At 38.7% G+C, this 21,786-nt stretch overlaps 2 long non-coding RNA genes across 2 annotated transcripts in view; both read left to right on the top strand.

Annotated features, from left to right (window-relative positions):
• Positions 1–21,786, top strand: part of LINC02055 (long intergenic non-protein coding RNA 2055) — a 366,804-nt gene that overhangs the window by 258,511 nt on the left and 86,507 nt on the right. Inside the window, exons 3-4 of the long non-coding RNA NR_147196.1 lie at positions 527–581; positions 7,966–8,062. This is a non-coding gene — a long non-coding RNA (long intergenic non-protein coding RNA 2055). The remainder of the gene's footprint in view (positions 1–526; positions 582–7,965; positions 8,063–21,786) is intronic.
• Positions 15,899–20,597, top strand: LOC124902073 (uncharacterized). The gene is made up of 2 exons (XR_007061191.1): positions 15,899–16,102; positions 20,434–20,597. It is a non-coding gene; the product is annotated as an uncharacterized LOC124902073 (long non-coding RNA).

The following is a 21,786-nucleotide window of genomic DNA, read 5'->3' on the forward strand; positions in this document are numbered from 1 at the left end:
TGGGTTTAAATATTTTATTGTATTTGCTAATTATGTTGATAATGTGTTGAACAGGAGCGGAAAATGCATGAGTATTCAAAAAGAAAAAAATGATAATTGTGAATCTATGTATGCAATTGGAGATTTGCTAAATTTCAAACTTCACCACTGGCGTTAGTGTCAGTAACAAGTTCAAATCAATTCAGCTCATGCACAACTGCTGAAAGAATGAGTCATACTGCTGGGTTTAATGGAGAGACAATGACGTGCACTTGGTGGTGCAATTTTGAAATCAAATGTGAAGACAGACATCGTTTGTCCTTTGCAGTTTGGCTGGAGTGTGGAGTCATAGGTCATCACAATTTGTTCTCTTTGCTCTGTTGGTTTAATCAGCATTTTACAACAGTGTCAACTAACTTATTTTAGTATTAATTCATAGTCTCTTTGAAACAAGCATTTGGATTTTTAAGATGGTGTGTTCTCTTTTATTCTTTCAATAAGCATATTCTGAGTACCTAACGTGTTTTATCAACTATAAATCCAACAGTGCAAACATGAGTAACATGGCCCTGCTCTGGAGACTACTGGGAACACAAACACAGGTAAGTGCATCAAACAGAGATAAGGACTGTTAAGAGGGGGTATGAAAGAAATTCCATGTGAGAACAGGGAGGTGTGCCCAATTATCACTGTGAGCATTAGGGACAGGTACATACTAAAGCCCTTGAAATGTGCTAGTAAGAATATAAAATACGTCTTTAAGACAGAGGTTTTCATTATCTCCATCTTCACATAGAAACTGAGCTGAGAGTTTAAATAATATAGTCCATGTCACAGATTGTTATGATCTGGTAGAGTTAGGTCATGAACAGCAGTCTAGTTATCATTTATGTGTCATCACTGCAAAACTGAGAGCACAAAGACTCTCTATCATGCTGCCCATATTTGCCCAAAAGCTGGGACAGTGTCCAATACATAGTAGATATTTTATAAATAGTGCTATAGATAGATGAATGCATATGCCAACAGCCTACCTAGTAAGCATTTTGCAAAGTGTTGATGGCCCTGTTGAAAACCTCTGTGATCACTCCTTGGACTTTCTTGCCAATAACCCAATGAGAGGCAGGGAAGCACAACTAACCATGTGTTTTTGTGCCCTCTTTGTTTCTATAGTACCTCTTCTGCTGCATGTTGATTATCTATCCAGGTAATATTATTTAATAAATTCCACAAGTATTTATTGATTGTCTACAATGTGCCAAAAACCATACTAGGAAATACAGGCACAGCATGGAACAAGAGAGGTTTAGTGTTTCTTTTCCTCTCAAAGTTTATATTGTGATGGGCATTATTTACATTTTCTATTTCAAAATAAATTCTTATGTTTTTGTTAAAATAAGTAGACATAACTTTTACAGATTAAAAAGATTTTGGTAAAAACAAAATTCTACTTTACATTTTTAACTATTTTTATTTGTGCCTTCTACATAACAGAATGGGATCTCTTCTTAGTTTCAACACAAACATTGAGGTAGAGACATATAGTTATTGGTATTGTGTATGCTCACTTAGAACTTATCAACTACTACACACTTCGCTGATACTTTACCATCCCTCCTCTACCCCACCTCTAAACACAACAGATTCATGTTTAGAAATGCCTGCAATTCATTTTTTGTTACATTTTAGATCAAAAGATATGAGTGGACATTTTTTGGATTAATGGCTGCTTTAATAAACATATGGTAAAAATAGCAAGCAGAATTTTTTTTAAACAAACATTGCACTTAATCACATTAGCCTGAAGTGGAAATGGATCTGAAAAAGAATATTTAGCACAGTGATAGCAACAATAAAAACTACCAGGTCTCACAGGTGTGTTAAGTAATCTTTACGTGAAACACAATCAAGAAGACATTCTTCAAAATAAAAAGATTCAGAGATGCGAAGGAACTTATCCATAATTGTTACACAGCCAGTAAATGGCAGCTCTGTTTTTATTCATTCAGTTTTCATTCTGTCATTTTTTTATTTCAGTGAGTAGCAATCATGCCTTTATTTTAAGTATCTGACACTGTGTTAGGAGCTGGGTTTGCTGTGAGAAACAAGACAATCAGGTATTCTTCCCTCATGAGGTCTACTGTCAACTGAGGAGACAGTCAATAAATAAATATAATAAGTACAAATCTTGATATGTGATTAGTGAGACAAATTGGGTGACTGGAGAAAGGAGAATGAAGGAGACCTGCCTTAGATTGGTGCTGAAGAATTCTCTGAAGAAGTGGCATTGAAGGAGAGCAGGGGAGAGTTAGAAGGAACCAAGCCATGAATAAATTTTGGAAAGAAAATAATGCATCAGGTCTAAAGTTGAGAACTGCTGGTGTTCCTGACACGTTGTGACTGAGGGGAGCATTTCAGTGGATACATTTGGAAATGACAAGAGAGAAGGAATCATGCTGGGCTTCATACACGACAGCAACAATTTTGTTTTTTATTTGAAGAGTAATGGAAAGCTATTAAGAGATTTTTAGTTGAGGGAGAAGATAAAATGTTTCATTTGAACAAATGTCTGATGATTTCCAAGCCCACACCATGTGCAATAGCCCAAATGTTCTATGGATGTGCAATGTGTGAAAGGACTTTGGAAAACAGGAGAAACTCGGCAACTGCAAGGCGGTAATGATAATAAATGTCTTCACCTCCTGAGTGGGGAATATTCAGCAAGTTTTCAAAGGACGTCTTAGTTTGTATGCCTTTGGGTTTCCATTTTGTTTTGATTTTGCATGGCAAAACAACATACTCCCCTTGCACACCTACAATGTAAAACACATAGGCTGGCCCTTTAGACACAAATGGCAATGATATACCATTTGCTGAAAGAAGTTGGTGATATATTGCGTGAGAAAGATGAATTAAGAAAGCACCTCAGTAAAATTGATGCTTGCATCAGAAACAATCCGTACCCTTAAGGTGAGGGAGCCCAAAGAACTGCAGAGGAGGAAGCCCAACCAGCCTTCAGATGGATTCCTTCTGATTTTTTCAGTGTGTTTATGCTTTGCTCTTTTGGCTTGTTTTACACTCTCTCATGCTATAGTCCACTTCTGGACAAAGGTTCTGCCTCTTGAATACGCTCTTAAATTCTTTGCCTTTCCAAATTTAGCTTGATTTTCCTACAGATATTTTAGTGAATCTCCACAGAATGTACAAGTGATATAAAGACTTTAGTGAGAGTGAAGTGCCCTCATTTATTTAGAGATAGGTTCTAGCTCTGTCACCCAGTCTAGAGTGCAGTATCATGATCACAGCTCATCTCAGCCTCCACCTCTAGAGCTCAAGCAATCCTCCTATCTCAGACTCCAGAGTGGCTGGGACTACAGGCATGCACCACCACACCTGGCTGTTTTTATTTATTTATTTATTTATTTTAAAAATTTTGTTACAGATGGGGTCTCCCTAGGTTGCCCAGGCTGATCTTGAACTCCTGGGCTCAAGCTATCTTCCTGCTTTGACCTCCCAAAGTACTAAGATTACAGGCATGAGCCACTTCACCAGGCCTATTTATGTATTTTTTTTTGAATAAATGTTTTCTGCACTTAAAACTTGGAAAATTTCAAATAAACACAAAATAAGAAAACAGTACAATGAATCCCATGTTCCTGCCACACAGTCTCAAAATCAACATTTTTCCAATCTTGTCTCTATCCCCTTCCCACTTTCCTGTCCCCTGGAGTATTTTTTTCCCATTTCCTGGAGTATTTCAAATTAAATGTTAGACATCATAACGTGTCTGGAATTGGTGGGTTCTTGGTCTCACTGACTCCAAGAATGAAGCAGCGGACCCTCGCAGTTGAGCGTTACAGCTCTTAAGGCGGCACGTCTGGAGTTGTTCGTTCCTCCCGGTGGGTTCGTGGTCTCGCTGGCTTCAGGAGTGAAGCTGCAGACCTTCGTGGTGAGTGTTACAGCTCATAAAGGCAGTGTGGACCCAAAGAGTGAGCAGCAGCAAGTTTCATTGCAAAGAACCAAAGAACAAAGCTTCCACACTGTGAAAGGGGACCCGATGGTTGCCACTGCCGGCTCTGGCAGCCTGCTTTTATTCTCTTATCTGGCCCCACCCACATCCTGCTGATTGGTCCATTTTACAGAGAGACGAGCGGTCTGACAGGGCGCTGATTGGTGCGTTTACAATCCCTGAGCTAGACACAAAGGTTCTCCACCTCCCCACTAGATTAGCTAGATACAGAGTGTGGACACAAAGGTTCCCCAAGTCCCGATTAGAGTAGCTAGATACACAGTGTCTATTGGTGCATTCACAAACCCTGAGCTAGACACAGGGTGCTGATGGGTGTGTTTACAAACGAGCTAGATACAGAGTGCCGACTGGTGTATTTACAATCCCTTAGCTAGACATAAACGTTCTCCAAGTCGCCACCAGAGTCAAGAGCCCAGCTGGCTTCACCCAGTGGATCCCGCACCGGTCAGCAGGTGGAGCTGCCTGCCAGTCCTGCGCAGTGCGCCCGCACTCAGCCCTTGAGTGGTCGATGGGACTGGGCGCCCTGGAGCAGGGGGCGGGGCTTGTCGGGGAGACTCGGGCCGTACAGGAACCCAAGGAGAGGCGGAGGCTCAGGCATGGCGGGCTGCAGGTCCCCAGCCCTGCCCCGCAGGGAGGCAGCTAAGGCCAGGCGAGAAATCGAGCGCAGCGCCGGTGGGCCAGCACTGCTGGGGGACCCAGTACACCCTCCGCAGCCGCTGGCCCGGGTGCTAAGTCCCTCATTGCCCCGGCCGGCCGGCCGCTCCGAGTGCGGGGCCCGCCAAGCCCACGCCCACCCGAACTCCAGCTGACCCGCAAGCGCCGCGCGCAGCCCCGGTTCCCGCTTACGCCTCTCCCTCCACACCTCCCTGCAAGCTGAGGGAGTCAGCTCCGGCCTTGGCCAGCCCAGAAAGGGGCTCCCACAGTGCAGCGGCGGGCTGAAGGGCTCCTCAAGCGCGGCCAGAGTGGGCGCAAAGGCCGAGGAGGCGCCGAGAGCGAGCGAAGGCTGTGAGGGCTGCCAGCAACGCTGTCACTTCTCAATAATATTTCACCTGTGAATACTACAGTATGTATCGCAATCAACTAGATTTTTTTTCTGTTTTTAGTCACTTTCTAATTTCAAGGTATTGCTAAAAGTCCTGGTGATAAAGGTTGAAAATGAAGGAAGCTTACATCAGCCCACAGTTGGTGTACTCAAAATCACTTCTGACCCATTGTCTTCAGGCCAAGTCCTCGCTTTCGTTAAGTGAAGTGAGATTTTCCCTAGGAGGTTGATCTCAGTGTCTCATATAAAACCTGTGTTGGACTGACCCTATTTTTCTATATTTTCCAGTCTTCATTGAATCTTTGAAGAAATCTACCTCATATTTTTATGTGTCATATGGGTTTAATGGAATGAAATAGCAATTAGAGCTACTGTGATCAATACTGGGGACGTGGTAGACTCACGAGTTCTTAAAGTGGCAGGGGCGAATCCAATCTTGTTATCCATTGATGTCTACTAAATATTTACGTTTAATAAATATCTCACTTGAACCTGTGGGGTGAAGCTGAGGGGCTATTCTAGGGAATCATTTGAAAGAATCAGTGAAGACTCCTGCCTGCCCAGTGGTTCTGACCCATGGCAAGCAGTGACAATCTGATGTGGCATAAATACCAGATGGTGACAAATAACACTGACATTTTGTCAGAAGCAAAGACATGACTCAGAACCAAAAACTTTGCCTAGATGAGTGTCAGTGTTTGGTGACAAATAGCTCAAGTCTGACAGCATGCTTCACTGCATAGACTTTCATCCATCACGGAGAGTTTTTTTTTAAATCTCAGAACACAAAACACCCAACTCCCAATATTGGGTGACATGAGAAGGAAGGTAAGAAAAAGGCAAGTGAGAAGCAGCGACAAAGACAGAGAGCCTGAATTGCAAAACAGTGATTCTCATTTTATTTTAAGAATCTTATTTTTCACCACTCTCATACTTCATAATTCAGAAGTGCGTTCTGCTGGTCCTCTCCTGAAAATAAAAGTGCTGGGAGAGGGGTGTTCGAAGTTGTCAAATGAGTCCAAACCTGATAATCAAAGAGTTAGCACTTGATCTGTGCATTTTTTGAACATATATATGTGTTTTATATATATATATATAACATATATGTGCTATATATGTATAAAACATATATGTGTTATATATATATAACATATATATGGAATGTATATGCTTATTTGCTTGTTTAAAACAATTTGCTAAACTAATAGCACAATCTACTAACAGCCAAGTTTGGTAGATGATAGCAGTGAGATGAACATTGAACTTTGAATTAGAAAATCTGAATATTGTGTCTCAGTTCTACAAACTATTAGCTGTGCGAGTTAGCTTTCCAGAGCTGTGTTCTCACTTGTTCATCTATACCTGAAATACTTATTGAGCACCCTTAATGTGACAATCACCGTTCTTGACCCTGTGATACAGTGATAAACATGAAAGGAAGAGGTCTCTCACTCCATTGAGATTCCAGTGACATGATATAAAAAAGAACAAATCAAAAAATAAAAAGGGCAAGGTAATTTTAGTGTTACCTACTATGTAGAAATAAAATAAGGTCATTTGAAAATGATTAGGCCATGATTGAGAATTGAAATAATGTACTCTAGGATTGGATGGAAAAGAAGAACTCTCTGAAATGGTAATAGTTTTGCCTTAACTTTAATCATGAGAAGTGTCAGTCATGAGATGACCATAATTAATAGGATTCCAAAGAGAAAGAACAATAAAAAGAGAAGTAGAAGGAGAGGACATGGAGTATTCAAGGAATAAAGTGAAAGTCAGTATGAACATATCGTCCCTGCCGCAATGTCAAATTCCCAAAATTAGATTTTTGGGAACGTTGAATTAACAGATGTGAAAGTGTTTGTTTCCATGTGCAACATACGGTCCTTCAAATAACTTTTTTAGTACACACATGAAGAAGTATAATTAGCATGTTAATTTATTGAGTCACTAATCAATTACATCCTAAAGGTCAGACCCTAAAGGAAAACACCACACCACCACATTGAAAACATTTTCTAGGGCATTCCTTTATTCAGTCACCAGGAGGTCCTGGTGTTGGGTCTTGTCCTGATACAAGTGTGTGCAGGAGTGAGTTGCCATAAGGTATGCGAAATGAGAAGGAGCCACATATCATTTTTCAAATTTGAAATTTTCCTTGTTTTTTTACAGTGTCACTCAGCATTTGATTTATTGTTATTTTTGTGCGTTGTGATCCTACAGATTTCTGAGATATATTATATAATCTGAGTATTATATATCCTCAGAAATGCTGAGACTCAGTGTTGAGGTTTTTATTGAAGGCATGTTTACTCTAAGCCTGTACCTGTCTCTGGTTTCTCTGCCCCAATTTAAAACATCCTTAACAAGGCTGCCTCAGTGTTCTTCCAACCCCCAGTCTTAAATCATATCTTTTTCTTTCTCACATAACAATCTTTCAAAGACTTCTCAATTGTACAGACATAATTTACTCAATACTTAGTTCCCCAAACTATTGTAAGTACATAGTAAATACCAAACACTAGTTGAGTGTAGTGATTCATCATTAAAGATGGTAGATACTGTCTCCACCATCATGGAGATTTTATTCCAGTAGTAAAGATAATATTTAAATAGCAATAATAATGACAATAAGTTAATATTATGTTAAAAGTAATGTTCCACTAAATATTAATAATCTAAAGTAAAAGCCTCTAAAACAAACTATAATATTGATATGGTTTGGCTTTGTGTCCCCACCCAAATCTCATCTTGAATTGTAATCCCCATGTGTTGAGGGCAGGGCTTGGTGGGAGGTGATTGAATCATAGGGGTGGATCTCCCCATGTTTTTCTCTTGTTAGTGAGTTTTCATGACATGTGGTTGCTTAAAAGTATGTAGCATCACCCACTGCTCTCTCTTCTTCCTTTTCCAGCCATTTAAGACATCTACCTGCTTCTCCTTTGCCTTCCATCATGACTGAAAGTTGTCTGAGGTCTCCCAGCCACGTGTCCTGTACAGCCTGTGGAACTGTGAGTCAGTTATACTCCTTTTCTTCATAAATTACCTAGTCTCAGGTAGTTCTTTACAACAGTGTGAAAACAGACTAATACAAATATCATAGAAAAAAATTCATAGAAGTAGAGTTAATTCAATAAAACCCACCACAGTTACTTTAAAGCACTGTGTGATAGTGTTTAAGCCACCCAGTTCTTGATATTTTGTCATGGCAGCTCTAAAAGAATAATACGGGAGGTGACATCTATATTAAGTATTGGCAGAATTTAGCTTAGCAGAGAAAAGAGGGTTTGGGTAAGACTATTTGGGGTAGCAGTATGTGCAAGAGAACAGTAAGGTGAGAGGACTTGGCTGTTTAGTGTAAACCACCAGTCTAGACAGGGTGTGGCCTAGGACATAGATGAGCTGGAATAGGGGTATCAAGACATGAGATCCAAGTGTGGCTGGGAAAGCATGAACGATGGAACCTCACATGCCTGGCTAACACATGTTGATTTCATCATAAGTTCCCCTTCGCCCAGTGGAATTCACATTTGTGAAGCCAGGCAAAGATCAACATTTTCCCAAATTCCGATAAAAACATGAGAGGTGCCCTAGAAATTCTGGCGGAAGTAAATGTTATATTTGAGACACATATTGTATTTTCCCTTTTTCTCTTGTCTTCCTGTGTTTCAGATGTAGAAAGGAAAAAGGGAGAGAAATGGAGACATTTATTGAATCCAGGCACCATGCTGTGGATTGCTAAATACAGCTTCGTAATTTGCATCTAGTTATCTGGTCTTCCAAGCTAGCTTTTTCAAGTATTTTTACCTTTACACATAAAGTTCTATTGGAGATGTACTTCACCCTTTTCTGCACTAAAGAGTTTAATTTTTCAAGACTCAGTTCAAACTTCATTTTGTTCTGTGAACATTTCTCTGGTTTTCAGAAAGTTATTCACATGCCACTCTCACTCTGCACCACTACATGAATAATGTATTTCTATGGTTATATTATCACATTGTATAAAAACCCTTCTACAAAGAAGGACAAATGTTGCCTGTTCTCACTCCTATGTGGGAGCTAAAAATTTAAAATATTAAACTCATGGAGGTAGAGAATAGATTGATGGTTACCAAAGACTGGGAAGGGTAGTGGGAAGACAGAGATAAAGTGAGTATGGTTAATGGGTGCAAAAATCCAGTTAGATATAATGAATAATATCTAGTATTTGGTAGCACATTAGGCTGGCTATAGTTAACTATCATTTGTTACATAGTTTAAAATAGCTGGAAAAGTAGAATTGGAATGTACCTAACAAAGAAATGATAAATGCTTAAAGTGACAGATACCCCAATTATCCCCATTTAATCATTGCACATTGAATGCTTGTATCAAAACATCACATATAACTTATAATTATATGTAATCATTATGTACCCATAATGATTTAACAATTAGAAAACAACAACAACAACAACAACAACAAAAACCTGTTCTGGTAAAGGGCCTGGTGCATGTTAGGTGACCCCCGACACACATAACCCAAGTACTCTGACGTGTGTGTCCACACTGCAGCACACAGATGGCACTAAGATTGAGATCTTGTGGAGGCACATGTCTTCTCCGAACCTGTTTTCTCATCTCTAAAAGGAGAGAGGTTGAAATTGTCAGACACTCTATTCTTAAAATCCGGGATTTGATAAGTGAGACATCATGTGACATGCTCTTCAAGAGATATGCAGGTAGCTCCTAACCACATTTGATATATTCAAAGAGATGAATTTCTCTATGCCAGAATGAGAACAGAATAAAATAATTTGAGAAGACCAAAGTATACACCAGATCCAGATCTGCAGAAGGTGACTGCTACAAAGAGAGAGATTGTCAATTTGAGGAATCAGTCTCTGAAAATACTTTACATGAAGACTGTAAGACACAATATACTAATTAGAATGCTCTCTTCTTGGGTTATTCTTTTGTGTTCTTTCATTTTCCAGTGTAAGAATCTGCTTAGGAAAATCTGCTAAGAACTTAGCTATAACTTTGAGTGGTACATAACTTTATTACCTCAAATGGTAGCTAATTAAGAGATAGAGTGTTTCAGAGAATTCGTGGTAATTACTGCTTCTGTTGCTCATCTCTTTCTGACATCTGATGTTTTATGAAAATCTGAGGGTTTCACAGAACCTGTGATAGTATTTATTTTGCCAGGTGAGCATTTCAAGTTTAAAGAGACACCTTTAAGTGGGGACACCCCGCAGGCACACTGGCCATAGTGATCGTGCTGAAGCCAGTCAGTCTGCCCTTGTGGCTGCATTGTCATGGGCCTTTCAGAAGAGAAAAAAAAAAACACTTTTGGAGTCACTCTACCATGTTATAAATCTCCTTTTTTCATCCTTTACTAATTCTGTTAGTCTTGGGAGAGTTTTACATACCTCTGGTCTTTTTTTTTTGAGATGGAGATGCGCTTTTGTTTCCCAGGCTGGAGTGCAATGGCACCATCTCAGCTCACTGCAACCTCTGCCTCCTGGGTTCAAGTGATACTCCTGCCTCAGCCTCCTGAGTAGCTAGGATTACAGGCATGTGCCACCATGCCTGGCTAATTTTGTATTTCTATTAGAGATGAGGTTTCTCCATGTTGGTGAGGCTGGTCTGGAACTCCCGACCTCAGGTGATCCACCCACCTTGGCCTGCCAAAGTGCTGGGATGACAGGAGTGAGCCACTGTGCCTGGCCATACTTCTGGTCTTTACTGTTCATATGTATAAAATGAAGATTCTAATACTCAACAGAGATTTATTGTAAGAGTGAAATGAAAGGATGATTGTTGGCGGTGGAAGATATTTGAGTTACCCTGTGTCAGGGTAAATCTGTATCAGTCTGCAGCAACTTCAGTTCTTGCCTTCTCAAAAGAAAGAATTCAACCGAGGGGCAGAAAGCAGGAGAGTTCAAGGCAAGATTCAGAGCAGGAATGTGTTTATTAAAAAGCTTTAGAACAGTAAGAAAAGGAAAGAAGAAAAAAAGAAGGAAAGTACAACTTGGAAGAGGGCCAAGTGGGAGACTTGAGAAACCAAGTGCCCGGCTTGACCTCTTGGCTTGGGTTTTATAGGTTGGCATAACTTTCGGGACCTTATTGGGAAGCTGCTGATCAGTTTCAGGTGGTGTTTTCTATCTATTAGGAGACCACCTTTCCCTGACACGGCTGGGGCCAATTATTACTTTAGAGAAATGGTTAACAATCACCTGACCATCACCTGATGGTTGCCCAACATTCCTGGTGTGTGTGGCGGGGGTTGGGGGGGTGGTGATGACAGTGGGGGCAGGATGGTGGAGGGGCTCTCTTGTCCTGCTCAATACCTGACTGGCTACCCACTGGAATACTTTTTTCAGATCATCTGGCACAGCATTGCTGCTCACAGACATCCTTCTGTTAAAAACCAGTGTTCCCCCAGGAACATATGGCTGATTAAATTCCCCAGCAACAAAAACAATATTATCAGTGAATGCTTTACCTAATAATGTGTATATTAACAGGGACTAGAATAAAAAAAAAGCAGCTGTCTTTTTGTTTGTTTGAATGGAATGTAAAATAAGGTATTTCATGAACACCAAATTATTTTTGAAGAATTGAATACGTGAAAACAACAAGAACTCAGGAAGATGGATGACTTACCATTTATGTAAGGTTACATTAAGGACAGAGACCCAGGAATCCTGACCATTCTTCCAGAACCTTCAGTCTTACTGCCTTGGCACTGTAACCTCAGATTAAGGGGCTAAGATGGGAGAGAAGCGAGATATTTGGACAGAGGGCACCTTAGCAGGCCTCCAGGAGGAAGAGAAGGAATTGCTACTTCAGTCACTATTTTTGTCTAAACTAACACTCTTACCATTAAGCTTTGTCATGGTATAGGAGTCCTAATTACTGAAGGTGCTTGAAGTCCTCTGTTTATAGAAGATAAAACTTGTCCTAACTCACCTGCCCCAAACCTAGCAGCTGACCTGATAACACAGGGGCTTACTCATTGTTTTATGTGCCATGCCTTGGCATACAAGAATAATATTTGCACTGAATAATATTTATCTCTTTTTGCGATGTCCTCTATATGAAACCTGTGTTGTATCTTTGGGCACATGCAGTGTCCAACACTTTGAAATCAATTATATTTACCAAATGAACTTATTGGTAAATAATGAATGGATGAATGAATACATCAGGAGGATTAAATGTTCTCTAAAAATATTTTAACTCTAATATTTTAATATTCTCTGTTATTTTCTTTGGGTAAAGTAGAATTTTTAAAATATATTTTATTATGTTTAAGTATATATATTTATACTTAAAAATATTGGGGATCAATATTCTTTGGGAGACATTATACAGAAAAGAATTTGGTTGAATTTTCTGCTAATCTGAAAAGTTGAATGTTATTGTCATATTTGCCTATGAGAAAAGGAAAGATAAGAAAAGATAATTCACAAAGGGACACAGTTTGAGAAGGACTAGGTGACTTCAACACTTGAGCTTTTCTTGCTCTTCCATACAGCCAGAGAATAGTAAAATATCCTATATTATTTTGCAGTTTATGAGGCTATTTTGCAAGGAAATTTCTGATATTCCAATGAACACAGAGTATAAACAGCTCCGTCTTCTGCTTGATGAATTTGCACACATGATCAGTAATTTAGAAATCAGATACATCTATTTAATGTTCAATTTAGAAGAAACTTGTTTCTCACATCCTGGCTCTCTTTACATCTTCTGGGAGAATGGCTATCCTTCTTAGCAGCTGATTAACAGCAATTTGACTCTCAACTGAAGAAGTCCTGAAAAGAAGCTCATGGGCTCTAAGAAGGTTAACAAAATCAGCAAAGGCAAAAAGAATTCATAGGTATACATAAATATGAATATTTCAGTTTAGCATTTTCTTCTGTGTTAATTTCCTTTCTGTCTTGCCTCTCACACATTATTAGGCATCCTAGGTGGCTGCAACTGCCCTGTCCGTTTCTTCTCCTCAGAACTCCCACCTTCCTTGGTTGTTTCTTCTTTCTCTGAATGACCCCTAATAACCCATTTAGTCTTAGCTTTGACTTTACGTCTTCCATGAAGTCTTCTTCTACATGTGTTCTTGAATTTCTCTGTACATCTTTATCTTTACATGTGCCACATCTTGTTGCAATTATTGGTGGATCTGTACCCACCACTGAATTGATAATTTTTGAGAAACGTGAAGCAATTCTTGCCTTTATTCTCAATCACAATCACAGCTCAGCACATAGTATGCATTACAGAAATGCTTTGTGGAATAGAGGAAAATAGGAAGGAGAAAAGGAACAAATGGGAAAGTAAATCACATTGTAAGACTCTAAAGCCTGTGATAATAAGGAATGCGTGTCCTAACAGTTGGTTTCATTCCCTTGATGCTTAAACAGGAAGCACTTCTTAACTTGAGCCAGGATTCATCTCCATAAAAAGTAGATAGTTTGGTCTTAGTTATATCTTTTATAGCCATTTAATGTAGATATTTAAAACACAGTGATTGGTGACTTTTGGAATTTTTCCTTCCTGAAGCCAGCTCCTATACCTCCAAATGCTTTGACAAACTGTCATATGACAAAAGTACACAATCCCTGGATTCTGATTTCTCTGCAACACCCTGACATATAAGGAATTGTAGGAAAGAGAGTCAGTATGAAGCATATGCAGTGACAAACTTCATAGTTGGTAACTGTGTCTGTAATTGCCAGTCATGATACTGGAAAGATATTTTATCTTATTCAGCCATAAATCAGAAAACTTTATTCTCATTCATAAAATCAGAAAAAACACAATGCACTCAACTATTTTGTATACAAATTAAATGAGATAACATTTTATTTACTTTGTGCAGTCCTTGGCACAAAGGACACTTGCAGATGTCTTTTAAAGTAAAAAGTTGTTTAAGTGCGTGTGTGTGTTTGTGTGTGTGTGTGTGTGTGTGTATGTTTGTGTCCTGCAGGAGTTGCTTTGTGAATTAATGTGATGAAGAGGTTTGAGATATTTTAATAGTACATGAAAACATGAACATGGCATCCAAAATAAGGTTAGTTGTAGTAAAATGAACTCTTAACTGGGAACCAAAAAACAGTAACTTTACGGTTCAGCCCCGCTACCATCTAAGTAAAAGATTTGGGGAAAATTATGACTTCATGACAGCCACATTTTTTATATTTTTTACATGGAAAGACAAAGTCAAAATATTTTCATTATTTCTCCTGAATTTAAGTATTAATTTATATTTAACAAAGTCAAAAGTTATTCTGTGACAGAAGCAAACTAGTAAAACTCTAATGAAATCTCAAGAATACTGATAAATCAAGGCTAAGGGAATGAAAAAGATGGAATAAAATCTGTGTGGCTAATACCATCAGCGTTTGAAATTTTGCTTTCTCCTCCCTCCAACAACAACTCATGAAAAATGCTGATGTTGACTTCAGAAAAAAGTTCCCAGTGATGGAAAGACTTCAAAAATCACCCCAGACAACTGGCCTTTAAATCTCTAATGACTTTTTAAAGTACGGAGTGACATCCTTCATGTTTAATTCAAGTCATATCCAATAGTTCCATCAGCATGAAGAACATGAGGCATAAACATTGAAATTTAATTTAAACAGTAATTGGACACAAATTTGTTTCTAGAAATTGGAACATAATATTAAAATACATCTCCGGTTTCCTCTCTAGTGATAGTAAATGCTCTTATGATAAACACATGGAGAAAAACTGTGTGTTTTGGATGAATGTTTATTTCATTCCATTCAAGAAACACCCACTGAACTTCTACCAAGTGCTCTATACTGTACTCAGCACATAAAGACAATATTCACAAGGAAACAAAGTCTTCCCTTTGGAAGAAAAAGCATGTTTAGTCCTCAATGTCTTATCTGAATTTAAATGTTATAGTATAAGTTCCCAATCTGTTAAATAATGTTAAGTTGGTCTTAAGAAGTGAACAATCTTATGCTTTAGGCTCTCAAAAAATTCATTGAAAGAAAAAGAAGATAAAATATCAAAGTGCTTAATGGATCTTTAACTGATTATATTTGTGTAAAACAATACGTTCTACACCAAGTTGCATTTTGAGAGGAGTACTTAGTGTCTTGAACAACCATATTGGTACTGATACTGCTAAATTGATATAATAATTTAGCAATATAAATGACAGTATAAATGATAAATGATAGCCTTTTTATGTTTATATTTTTATTTAAAGTATATTTAAACAATTTTTTATTTGCTCATCTAGACAAAACTGGGAAGTAGGCAGAGCAAGATCTTTGCTTCTGTAGAAACTGAGCTTCAGCGAGTCAATTGGTGAAGCTCACCAGTTAGTTGCTGAAGATCACCAGTGCTAGTATGTAGCAATAGCAGGTTTCAACCACAGTGCTTTCCTCTTTGGTCTCCCTGGATGAAGGATTGTTCTGCTTCAGATCTGAGTCACTTTATGGGAAATATTTAAGATGTGGCAAATCAAACGAGAAAGACACTTAAACAGACTTTCCTATTTCTCCTCACATTATAGTATGACGGAAGCAGTCCCACCACCTATTAGCTAAAGTTGAAATAGAAGCATCCCAACTAAATGATTAAAAGCGCATCTACTAGATTCAGACTGCCTGGATTCAATGCTAAATCTACCATTCACTAGTTATGTGCCCTTAGGTAGATTGCTTAACCATCGCATGCCTCAAATCCCCACCTGTGCAATGCCAGTAGTGATAAGAGTACCTACCTACAGGCTGGTAGCAAAGACTAAATAATTTCACCCATGCGGAGGACTTAGAGAATTGGCACATAGTGAGTACAACCTTAAGTGTTAAGTAGTGGTACTCAGAAACCCTGTGATGCAATACTTTATGATGTCAATGTAAAGGAAACTGAAAAGAGTGTTGAAAGACAATGGTCATGGAACTGAACAGATGAGCCTCTGATTCCTGTTCTGCCACTGATAAACCCTATGGTCTTTGTCATTTACTCCCCTTCCTGGGCCTCCCTAGGGAGTAATGAGGCTAGAAGAAATGATACCTGGGAAGGTGAGACAGATAGACTAAGAGCATGTTCTAGAGTCAGACAGATTCATGTAGACACCACAGCTCAGCAACATATTAACCATTTGATGTTGAACGTTGTAAACCAAAAAAGTACCTGAGACAAGTCTCAATCAATTTAGAAAGTTGATTTTGCCAAGGTTAGGGATGTGCTCACAGCACAGCCTTAGGAGGTCCGGATGACATGTGCCCAGCGTGGTGGGGGCACAGGTTGCTTTTATACGTTTTAAGGAGACTTAATACATCAATCAATACGTGTAAGATTTACATTGGTTCCATCTGGAAGGGCGGGACAACTTGAAGAAGAGACTTACAGGTCATAGGTAGATATAAACATGTTCTGACTGGCAGTTGGTTGAAAGAGTTATTATCAGTAAAAATATCAGTTATGGAGACCTAGGTTTTATCATGTAGATGAAACCTCCAAGCAGCAGGCTTTAGAGAGGTTAGCCCGTAAATGTTTCTTATCAGACTTAAGGTTTGTACTAACGTTAATGGTGGAGAGGTATAATGAGGCACGTCCAATCCTCATTTCCTGTCATGGCCTGAACCAGTCTTTCAAGTTACATTTTAGAGTGCGTGGCCGAGGAGAAAGTCCATTCAGGTGGTTGCAGGAAGGTGAGAGGAGGTTCAAATTTTATTTTTGGTTTACAATACCTATCTCACCTTACAGAATGAAAAGGGAAGTGCCTGCTCATAGTTGGGTGGTGGTGACTTAATAGGATCATCCAATTGAAGCAATTAGCACAACTCATCATATTTTTATTTAATAAATGAGTCATTATTATTATTAATATAGACTTATGACTCTTTTAATAAAATTATATGATGCCAGGGGCTATAAACCTTCTGTAAAAGGTCAAGTAAACTCAATACTCAAAAGTTGAGAAAAGAAACTAGTAACTTGTATAAATGTCCACAATGTGCTACGGCAAAATTTTTATTGATTTGTCTTGCCATTAAGCAGCATTCACTTGAGTCTCCGTGTTGCCCATGGCACTTTCCTTGGGTAAGTGCCTCCGGGTCAATGCAGTGAGGAAGGTGAAAAGGAATAGATAATAGAAAAAAATATGTAACAAAATCTTCATGGTTTCATTTAGAGAATATTAACCAGCTCTTCCCAAGAGCTTATAAGGTACCTTATATGGAAAGTTATGCAAATTATATGTCAGAGTGACAATATATGAGTAATTTCTAGAGGCATAGTTGAGTTTCAGGCATGATTCATTCTTCCCAGTACTCACCGTCTAGACTGTAAACATGTGTTAAGGATAAAGCCATTTTAACAAATTTTGGAACTCATTTTAACAAACAGAATTCAGAGCCTCTTTAAAAGTTACACCTAAAAAATGAGTTTTAATATGAGCCGGGGTTCTTTCACCTGGTTACCTGTGGTCACTATCGGATTTAACCTCATTCTTCAACTACTTACATCACTTTAATCATTATACTTCGTTGTTCCTATATCTTACCCTTTCTACAAACTTTCCTTTTTTATTTATTTATTTATTTATTTATTTATTTATTTACTTATTTATTTTGAGATACGGTCTTGCTCAGTTGCCTAGGCTGGAGTGCAGTGGCACAATCTCGGCTCATTGCAATCTCCGCCTCCCAGGTTCAAGCTATTCTCCTGCCTCAGCCTCCCAAGTATCTGGGATTAAAGGTGCCCGCCACCATGCCTAGCTAATTTTTGTATTTTTAGTAAAGACAGGATTTCAGCATGTTGGCCAGCCTGGTCTCAAACTCCTGACCTCAAGTGATCCATCCACCAATCTCCCAAAGTGCTGAGATTACAGGCGTGAACCATGGCGCCAGGCCAGTCTTTCCAATTTTTGATTGTTGGCTGTTCTCTGGGTCTAGAATGTCTTCCACTTATCTGAAAATACCTCTAATTGCCTTTCTCAACATTTTCCTGCTGTAGGAAAAGATACAAATAAATAGCATCTACTGAACCCAGGTTTCAGTATGTGAAAGACAAGCATTCTCAATAGACAAATATGCCGTTATACCTAATAAATTCCAGAAAGAGAGTCTAATTGTGTTGCTGATATGTTGATTTGCTCTAAAGGCCAACCACTGTCTTCAGCAGACATTCATCCCCATGGGTGAGAGTAGGAAGCAGGCTTCAACACCTGTTTTTAAATGTTTCCAGGTCAAAATCATCTTGGACAGTGTTTTAGGTTGTAAAATTGTGGAAACTGAAAAGGACATGAAATCTCTGCTTTAGAGGAAATGCAAAGTTTATTCCTATAGAAATGCACACCTGTGTTCCAACAGTAGTTCTTTCGGATATAAGCGTTGGTGAGGCTGAATATACTAACTTTACTATACTGTTTAGTTTTCAAAGTATTTGTATTATGTATTGCGTATCTACTATGTATCAAACAGTTTTCAAACAGTATTTTAGGTACTGGAGGGGGTGGGGGAAACTGTAACAGAAATAAAGTAACCACCATGGACTTTATCAAAATTAAAAATATTTTGTGGGGTGGGGGGAGGGGGGAGGGATAGCATTAGGAGATATACCTAATGCTAAATGACGAGTTAATGAGTGCAGCACACCAGCATGGCACATGTATACATATGTAACTAACCTGCACATTGTGCACATGTACCGTAAAACTTAAAGTATAATAATAATAAAATAAAATATATATATATATATATATTTATTCTAAAAAATATACTGGGAAGTAAATAAAAGGACTAATGGAGAAAACATTTGTAAAACATATTTGATAAAGGACTTGCATCTGAATTTATAATGAATTCTAAATGAGCTTATTTAACTCAATAATAATAAGACAAAAAAATCCAGTTTTAAAATGAACAAAATATATGAATAGAGATTTCACTGAAGGGATTTTATGAGTAGAATTAAGCCTTGTAAAGACGAAAACTAAGACATTTCCAGGAGACAATACAGTCTATGCAAATACTGGGAATCACTAGAAGAGAATGCGATTTTTTGAAAATTAAAATAGCAAGTAGTTAAATCTTGTCAAAGCATACAACTCCACTGGCAAGATTTAAGACAATTGAAGCAGGAAGGAGCCAGCTTTAGGAATGTCTGTGTTAGCGGACATATGGAGAATGTATCTCGTGAGGGATTTACACTTTATACTGAACACAAGAGGGAGATATTGAAATATATTTTAGCAGGGGCACTATTTAAACAAATATCCTACAATTACAGTTGATTTCCATTCTGTCCAGTATGTGTTTTTGGTACATTATGCTTGACACTAACACCATCACTGATTCTCTCTTCAGTGCATTTGTGTGTGGATATTTGTGTGTCTAGCATTGTCTTAGTTCCTGAAAGCACAAAAATAATGAGATGTTGTCTTCATCTGCTAAGAATGCACAGTCCACTGGGTGAGGGCCATAGGAAAATACCAATATTGCAAAAGCGAGTTCCATTCTGCTGTGGAATCCAGTTTAGATTCGAAGATCACTGAGTATGGAGAAAGCATGAAAGGGAAACATTGGTGTAGAATCTCACCTTAATAAGTAGGAGTTTCCTGTGAAATGGAAAAGGGATGGGGAGAATCCCCGACAAAAGCAAAAAAGTGAAAGATGGGGAAACATAAATGCAGGAAACTCTGAGAACAGTTCTGGAGACTCATGTATAAGTCTGTAATGTGGTAGGTCTGAAAATAAAAATAAAAAATCTATGTAGGCAAAAATGCGGCTCAAATATTCAAGATGCCAAGTTTTTGGAAGTGAAGTTTTCACTATGGAATTGAAGATTCACAGCTTTCTGAAGACAGAATAAAACATCCAGGGACAAGCAGGAAATACCTAGAGGCGTGGCCATGAAAACACACATGCGCGTGCAGCTGGCTTGTTGGTAAGGATGAGCCTGCCGGTATTTGGTACATAAGGGCTTAATGTAAGTTCCAGAGACCAAGCACACATAATATGTGAAGAGCTGGTGACAAAGTTGAAACTGGGAAGTAGCCAGAGGCCATACCTTGAAAACTGTGGTATCCTTTGATGAGAAGTTGAAATATTCTGCAATAGGTCTGCATACTCAATATTTTCCACTGAATTGCTTCTAATGACAGAGGAAAGATAACTTTAGGTAGTCTGGTAACTCAGCACCAAACAACCTGACAAATGTTGCCAATTTCTTTGAAGTCTGATGTTTCTTCTTTAAAATGTAAATTAAATGTGAGGCCAATTATGTTGATTAATAGGTATTTTAATATAATCTGCTTTCAGCAAATGTTTAGATAGAATTGTTACCCCAGGCATTTGGCCCATGTTTAATGGCTGATTTAGTAATCTAAACACCTCCATCTCTGCAGGGAGTATACAGCCATATGAGAATCACTGTTATAGGTGATGAGGCTCCATGAGAGGGCATTAACTTCTAAAAGCATGAGAAACCATCATCTTCTTCTGCAATGAGAGAATCAATGTGCCTCATGAAGTTACATACCATGATGAAATAAACCATAATCCATCCAAAGTTTACCAGCCTCTTATCCCTGCAGCGCCACATTTAACTTGACTCTGAAGTTACAGTTAAATTAAAAGGGTTTGCATATTTTATTCTCTCTAGTGATTTTATTGCTCACTAGAGATTTGCTGTATTAAAAAGCACCAAAATTACTTTTATCAATTAACGATATTATACTTAACGTCTAGATAAATTATTGAGTGGTGTTTGAAGTTACTGTGAGAAAACTTTGCATTGAATAAGGAAATGTGTTGATGTCCGTGTTTTGAGTAGGAAAGTTACTGTTTTTTTTGTAATAAATCCTAGTGATGAAAATGTTAGTAATGATGGTGAATATGAGGATATTTCAGGTACACTGCAAGAAACTAAGGATACAAAATTGGCCTCAAGGAGCTCACATTCATTGCCTGGCGCGGTGGCTCACACCTGTAATCCAGCACTTTGGGAGGCTGAGGCGGGTGGATCACCTGAGGTTGGGAGATTGAGACCACCCTGACCAACATGGAGAAACCCTGTCTCTACTAAACTACAAAATTAGCCGGGCATGGTGACACATGTCTGTACTCCCAGCTAATCAGGAGGCTGGGGCAGGAGAATGGCTTGAACCCAGGAGCGGAGGTTGCTGTGAGCTGGAGATCGCGCCATTGCACTCCAGCCTAGGCGACAAGAGTGAAACTCCATCTCAGAAAAAAAAAAAAAAAAGAGCTCACATTCAGAATTTGATGCAGTAAGTAAATCAGCCTCAAATTATGATACAGTACGTTAAGTACTACAGCAGAGCTGAACACAGCATGCCATTGGTGTAGAGAGAAGGACCTCTCACTTGGACATGGAGACAATGTAGATTTCCTGAAGAGTAAGATACTTGACCTGAGTTTCCAGGCTGCTTAGAAATTGATCAATCAAAACAGGCTTGGGGATATTCAATAACAAGCTATGAAACCTGTGCCATAGCAATGAAACATGGGGAAATTGAAGTGCGTAGAAAATCAGCAGTTACTTTCGTTTGTCTAGACTACAGCAAATGAAACGGAGATTGACAGGCAGTTAAAGGTCTCATGCAATATAATGAGGAGCTTGGCATCCACCTGCAAACTAGGCAAGGCCAGGTGGGTCTCCAATGTCCCTTCAAGTGGCTAAATGTGTTATTTACCTGGCTGAGGGGGCAGTGGAGTTTGAGATTTTATTTACGTTCTAT

This window comes from Homo sapiens, chromosome 8, assembly GCF_000001405.40.
Source record: "Homo sapiens chromosome 8, GRCh38.p14 Primary Assembly".
NCBI classification, from domain to species: Eukaryota; Metazoa; Chordata; class Mammalia; order Primates; family Hominidae; genus Homo; species Homo sapiens.